The following is a 6,865-nucleotide window of genomic DNA, read 5'->3' as shown; positions in this document are numbered from 1 at the left end:
TGCACAATAAACTATCCTGCCCATCTATGTCCCATCAACAACGGTACTGCAAGGCCATCTCTGTCTCTCATCCATCCATTTATTTAGTCCTTTGGCAAAAACATGTTCTGAGGCCAGGTGCAGTGGCTCACACCTGTAATCCCAGCACTTTGGGAGTCCAAGGCGAGTGGATCACGAGGTCAGGAGTTCGAGACCAGCCTGGACAACATGGTGAAACCCCATCTCTACTAAAAATATAAAAATTAGCTGGGCGTGGTGGTGTGTGCCTATAATCCCAGCTACTCGGGAGGCTGAGGCATGAGAATCGCTTGAACCCGGGAGGCGAACGTTGCAGTGAGCTGAGATCACGCCACTGCACTCCAACCTGGGCGATAGAGCAAGACTCAAAGTCTCAAATAAAAAAAAAAAAAGTGTTCTGAGCAGCTAGTCTGCTCCAATGAGCAAGATTAATTCCCTACCCTAGTGGAAATCTAGTCTAATAGACAAAAGCAGCACAGGATTTAAAACCAAGGATCATACTATGAAGAACAGGATGCCCTGGGAGCAGTAATTGGACTGTTGTTTCATGCTTATTTGACATATTTCTGAAAATGTCAACAGGGAGAGATCAAGGACAAACCCTAATGACACCTCAATAAAAGATTCCCTCGTGGCTGATACCAACTATGGGTTCACTGATTTATTGATCATTCAAGAAAAAAAAAAAAGCAGGATGGATAGCAAGTAACATTCATTGAGCCTCTATCATGCGCCAGACCTTGAGCCAAGAAATTTCCCTTGATCATCTCAGCCAGGGGAAAAGGCAAGAAGAGCAGGACTTTTGTCCTGCCCCTGCCAAACACAAGAAAGTGGCTCAGAGAGGTTACACATCTCATCTAACTGCAGAGAGAGAAGTCCAGGATTCCAATCCAGAGATTCTCATTTTTCTGTCCACTCTATCATGTTGCCTCCCACTCCACCTAATACCAAAATCAAGTCATTCACGTCTCTCCACCCTCTCCTCAAGGATACTGAGGATGTGGCTCAGTATAACATCCATTCACTCACCCATTCATTCATTATACAAACATGTGAAGTGGTTCCTCGGTGGCAGTGGCAATGACAGATGTGAGTCCTACCTTCACAGGGCTTATGGTATGTGGCACATAGTAGGTGTTCAACAAATACATGTTGAACAGATTACATAATTTCCCAAATGTCCTGCTGGAGTTTAGATTCACTCTGGCCATACCATATGCCTGTCGAGGTGGCACTTCATGGAAGAAGGCCTTTAGAAGCAACTAGCGGTCAAGGAGATGGTCTCCTCCCCATTGCACACCAGCTGTGTGATATCAGACAGGTCACTTCATCTCTCTGAACTTAAACTTTTCATCGCTGTAACTGACACCATATCAACAACCCACACAGGTGGCACAGGAATGGCATGGGATGGTATCACATATACAGTTCCTAGCACTGGGCCTGTCACTTAGAAAGTGCTGAGGTAACAGCCGGTAATAGCAATAATTAATATTTATTCAAATCCCTACTCAGCTCAGTGCCACATAGGGTTCTCGGCACTTGACATACATCAGCTTATCCCCTCCTCACAACCAGCCTGTGAGGAAGGAACCATGATCACTCCAGGTTACAACTGAAGAAACTGGCAAGAGAAAGTGAATGATTTGCCCTAAGTCTCACAGCTACTGAGCGAGAAGTCAGCCAACAGGTGCCCAATAAATCTTAGCATGCTCCCTCACCCCCTTCCCATATCTGCTAAAGAAGAAAAGCCCCTTCAACTGACACATTTGCTGGTTCCAACGGTCTCCACTTCCTTCCCGGCTTTTCTTTAACAGTCCCTCTAGAGCTTTACCACCTGAACTCTGCATCCAACTCACTCACAGCTCTAGGGGTTTCACAGTGGGCTCTCTGGACCCTGAGGTCCTGCCCAGGTGCCTCTCAGGACATGCTAGAGCCACAGAGGAGGTGGTGAAGGCGACCCAGCTGTTCATTTCCATTCCACCCCAAGCAGCCCTACTTTTTCTGTCTTTCATGGGCCATGGCTTAAGAAAACTTTCAGGATACCAACTTTCGTTTCCCAGGGTTTAAGGTCTCCATGATTCTGTAAAGGTCACTGGCCCAGCCTCAGGCATCTTTTCTACAATTCACTCAGTAACTGGAAGGTGACTTGTTAAGATCTAGAGCCCTTGGGAACATTTAGGAAGGCTACCCTTTCCTGGTGACCTCTACCATTAAGGAATTCAGTCCCATTTAACTCTGCCATGAGAGCAAGGAGTGAGCACCCTGTGATAGGAAGGACCATGAGAGAAAGTGTTAATTCTGGGGCCTCCAACACTGTGTGACATTGGACAAGTTGTTTAACCTCACTTTCCCCATTTGTAAACTGCAGGCAATAGCACCAACCTGTAAAACTACTGTTAGTAATAGAAAGAGCATCTAGCACAATGACTGGTGTGTAAAGGAAGTGGTGGTGGTGGCAGTTAAAGCTCCTGCCTGTTAAAATGTTACCTCCAGTGGCACATATAATAGTATTAGAAACAAATAACAATAATAGCTAACATTGAGTGAGTGCTCACTCAGCCACATACTATGCTAAGTAAGCTCTTTGCATGCTACTTTCTTTTTCTCTTCATGGCAACCCTTTGGAGTAGCCACAGTTGTAGTTCTACAGAAAACTGCAGCACAGAGAGGCCAAGTAATTTGTCCAAGATCACACAGCCAATAGGTCACAAAGCTGGTCTGCAAACCCAGGCCTCTCCTACTCCACAACTAAAGGGCTCACCCACCACTTTACACCACCTCATGGGCCTGCACCCCCCCAGAACCCTCTCAGTCCCACCCTACTGGGTACCCAGCCCTCCTTGAGCCCCCAGGACACTTCCTGTCCAGCATGACACCATTTGACCTCCTCCCCTGGCTTCTAGAGCCAGTGCCCGAGAAGTGACCCACTCCTTGCCGAGCCCCCCCAAAGCCCTCAGCCTGACCCCCGCGTAATGAAAGGAATTAATATGGCCGAGCCTCCAGCCCAGCCGAGCAGCTTCCCAGCAGGCTTGGCCAGGCCTCTAATTGATTAGGCCATAAAGCCTGGGCACTAAATTGAAAGGAGCTGCACTAATTCTCTTTTATGTTAAATTTCTGTCTTTCCCCTTTATCGAATCCCCCGTCCAATGTCCCTTTCCCTCCCCATCGTGGGCTTGCTGTGGGCCTGTTTTTTCCGTGCACAGATTAAGTACCTAATCAAAATCTTGTCTCCCCTAATGGCATAAAATTGAAAGATAGATATTGCACTTTACACAGCTGATTAAACACTCGAATGTGGCTAAATGCTTAAAGGGCTTGTTACATTAACTAACTCTGTCATCTGCCCACTGTCTTATAATTGCGTGTGCTCGTGCTGCTTCAGGGAGACACAGCAGGATGGCTTTTCGTCCACCTCCTCTTTGGTGGCCCCCCCAGGCCCCTCTCCCAGGGGCCTCCTCCACATAGCTGAGCCAGAGTGCAGGGAGTCAGCGCCCAGGAGTGGCCCCAGTGCTCTTCTTGGTCTTGGGAGCAGGGACAGGATAGTCAGAGTTCCCCTCCATGCCCAGGCACCAAGTGCCCTCCTCTTCTATTGGCTTCCACCTCAGTGAACCAGGGCAGCAGACTCTTTCCACTCCTCACCTCCTAAAGCCCCTCCAGTGCCTAGTTTCTTGCTTTCAAGAGTATAAACATCCCCCTAGCCCACTCCCAGAGGGAGAGACATTGAGTGCCTGTGGCAGCAGTGACCTGTCTTCTGCCATGCTTCGCCTTTGACCCTTGGCATCCCTCTCCCCTCACTCCCAGGTGCTCAAACTCACCTTTGAAATTAAGGAAGGTTGATAGCTATGACAATGAAATATGGCAGAAGCTGAGCAGGCACTTCAACACCCACCCTGCTCCTGGACACTCCTGACTCTCTCTCTGTGTCTTTATTCAGCACAGGGCACAGCAGGGCCTCAGCCACATGGCTGGCAGGAGACGAGACACGCACAGGTAATTGATCACCTAAGTTCCCACAGCAAGCTAGCACAGGGCTGAGTCTTGAACCTTGACGTCCTGACCACTGCAGCTCAGGACAGGGGGTAAACAGCAGGGGTGTGGAGTGTGCTCACTGCCCAGACCAGTGGGAGACAGCCTTTTCTGCCACATCTTCCAGCCCAGAGAAACGGTGATTTTCACAAAGGAGGAGTACATGGAAATTTCCTAGTGTGACAGTCGAAGAAGAGTGTGGACTCTGGAGCTGGATCAGATGCTGGTTCAACCCCTGCTCCAGCTATTCGTTTTCTCAGTGACTTTGGGCAAATTTCTTAATCCTTCCACACTTCCGTTCCTTCTAGGTAAAATGGAGACTCCAACAAATTTTTAATGAACATAATATGTATGCCCAAGTTCAGAGCTATGCATGGGCATCTCACAGCAAAAACACAGGCCATGCCTCTCTCCATGGAGCTTACAGGATGTGTGTGAATCGTTAAATCATTGAATCAATAAAATAATTACCAATTGTGATAAATGCCGTGTAGACCAAAACTAATAAACAACAGCAACAGCAACCCCAAAGGGCTATTACTGAATAAAAGCTTGTAGTGGCTGCTTTAGACAGGGTGACCAGGGGAACTTTCTCAAGCAGGCAACACCAAGCTGAGACCTCAAGGTTCAGAAAGAGCCAGTTACGTGGACATAAGGATAAAGTGTTTCAGGCAGAGGGACAGAAAGTGCAAAGACCCCGAGACAGGACTGGGGGTTGTCCCAGGCCAGTGTGGCTAGAGAGCAGTGAGCTAGAAAAGAGTAGTTTTCAATCTGGCCTCTGTGTCCTCCCAGTTGTGTGCCCCTGGGCATTTGTCACCAATCAGAGCTTCAGTTTTCCCAACCATAAAATGGGAAACACACAGTACAAGACGACGGTGAAAATCCAGTGAGAAAATGTCTGTCCTGTACCTGCCTCAGCAAAGACTGAGTGCCCAAGGCATTCAGGCCAGAAGCTCAGCCCTGGGAGGGTCTTGAACTCATTCAAACCTGCTCCCATTCAGGAAGGAAGGAAGAGTGCACCTTTCTCCTCTTTCTCTACATCTGTCTCTGTCTTTTGATCTCCACTTTTCTCTGCAGTCAGCTTTATCTCCTCTTCAGAGGGGTTTCTTTCATTGTACGTTTTTTGCCTACTCACCCCCACCTGTCACCCAATAATTCAAATAAATTAGGTTGTCAAGACACCAACTCCAGCCCCAACTGTGCATGAACTTTTAGCTCAAATGCCGTCTACCAACTCCTATTTTATGTCTCCAAATTATATTCTTAAGAGAGAATGTGATTGATCTCCTTATCTGACAACAGCCAAGTGACTTTGTGCAAATTTCTTAATCTTTCCACACTTCCATTTCTTCTAGGTACAGTGGGGACTCCAGCACACATCCAACAAATATTTAATGAACAGTCTGTATGCCAAGTTCTGAGCTATGCATGGGCATCTCACAGCAATGAGAGATGTCTGACAACAGATCAGCAGATGCCCCTTGGTCCAATGGCTACAGCTAAGCAGACAAGGCAGTGGGGCAGGTTCTCTGAGCAGGGCCTGCAGCATGCAAGCAGGCCAGTAAGCAGAGACAGTGTACAGCTTGAGTAAAAGAAGCCACGGACAGGCCTTTGGCTCCAAGAAAAGTCACTCTAGTCCCATAATGCACCAAGCCTCCCAGGGCAATCTGACCTCCTCCTGCCAGCCTGACCAGATGGCCATAAAATACATAGGTCCTCTCCCTTTACATAGTCAACCTCTTTGCAAGAGTAATACCTAGATCAGACCCTGCAGCCTTGGTGGATCTTAACCACCCACTCCCCACATCCTGTGGGAACTGCCTCCCTATGTCTGTAAGAACCACTTCCTTCTATCTGTGAGAACTTCCTTCCTGCATCTGAAGGAACCACCTCCCTTGGTATCTTGGAACCATTTTCTTTCTCCCTCCTCCCTCTGTGAAAACTGCCTCCCTACTCCTTCTGCCTCTGGGAACCACCTCCTTCCTCCCTCTTCCCTCAGGCTGTGAGAACCACCTGCCTTGTCTATGAGAAGTGCCTCTCTCCTCCATCCATCTGTAGAAACCACCTCCCTTGGTCTCTGGGAACCACTTTCTTCCTTCATCCTCCCTCAGTCCATGGGAACCACCTATTTTCTCCTTCCATCTGGGAGAAAAGCTGTCCTCAGTGTATGGAAACTGCCTCCTTCAGTCCACAAGAACCACCATCCTCTGTTTGTGGGATCTGCTGTCCTTCCTCTGGGGGAATCACTCCTTCATCCTCATCCTCCTCCTCCCCTTATATGCTAGAACCTTCTGTCCCTTCGTCCCCCACCCTCATATGTGAGAACCTTCTGTCCCCACCCCCAGCTGCCCCTCCTCACTGCAGCCTCTGCAGAAAGTCTTCATCTCCCCCACAGTCCTCCTTTATACAGCTCAATTGAGGAGATTATGGACTCACTAAGTGCCTCATATTAAAGATTCATGAATGCACAACATATATTTTAATAAGGCAGTTTGTACAATACAGAACTCAATCCTATCCAACGCACATCACTGAGAACTGGGGCCAGAGCCCTGCTGGGAGCTGAGGGCACCATGAAAAAGAACGCAGAGATTCCAGACACCTCGTCTCCAGGGACCCTGGTCTCTACCCACCCCACACAATCTTCCTGACCAAGCCCAAGGTAGCTTGCTCACCCTGAGAGTGGATGGCTCTGTATGAGCAGAAACACACACACTCACACATGTGCATGCATGCACTCACATACACCTGCATGGGTACTGCCATACATGCACGTACATTCACACAAGTATGCACACATACACACACAAAATTGCAC

The 6,865-nt window shown here is 48.3% G+C and overlaps 1 annotated feature.

The window, feature by feature from the left end:
- Positions 2,783–3,569: an enhancer, noted in NCBI's record as "VISTA enhancer hs1042". NCBI's record gives its function as "enhancer in: neural tube[5/7]" and the evidence as "EXISTENCE:transgenic organism evidence [ECO:0001131][PMID:17130149]".

The sequence above is a fragment of the Homo sapiens genome, chromosome 20 (assembly GCF_000001405.40).
Source record: "Homo sapiens chromosome 20, GRCh38.p14 Primary Assembly".
Classification (NCBI taxonomy): domain Eukaryota; kingdom Metazoa; phylum Chordata; class Mammalia; order Primates; family Hominidae; genus Homo; species Homo sapiens.
This window is presented reverse-complemented; position numbering and strand designations above follow the sequence as displayed.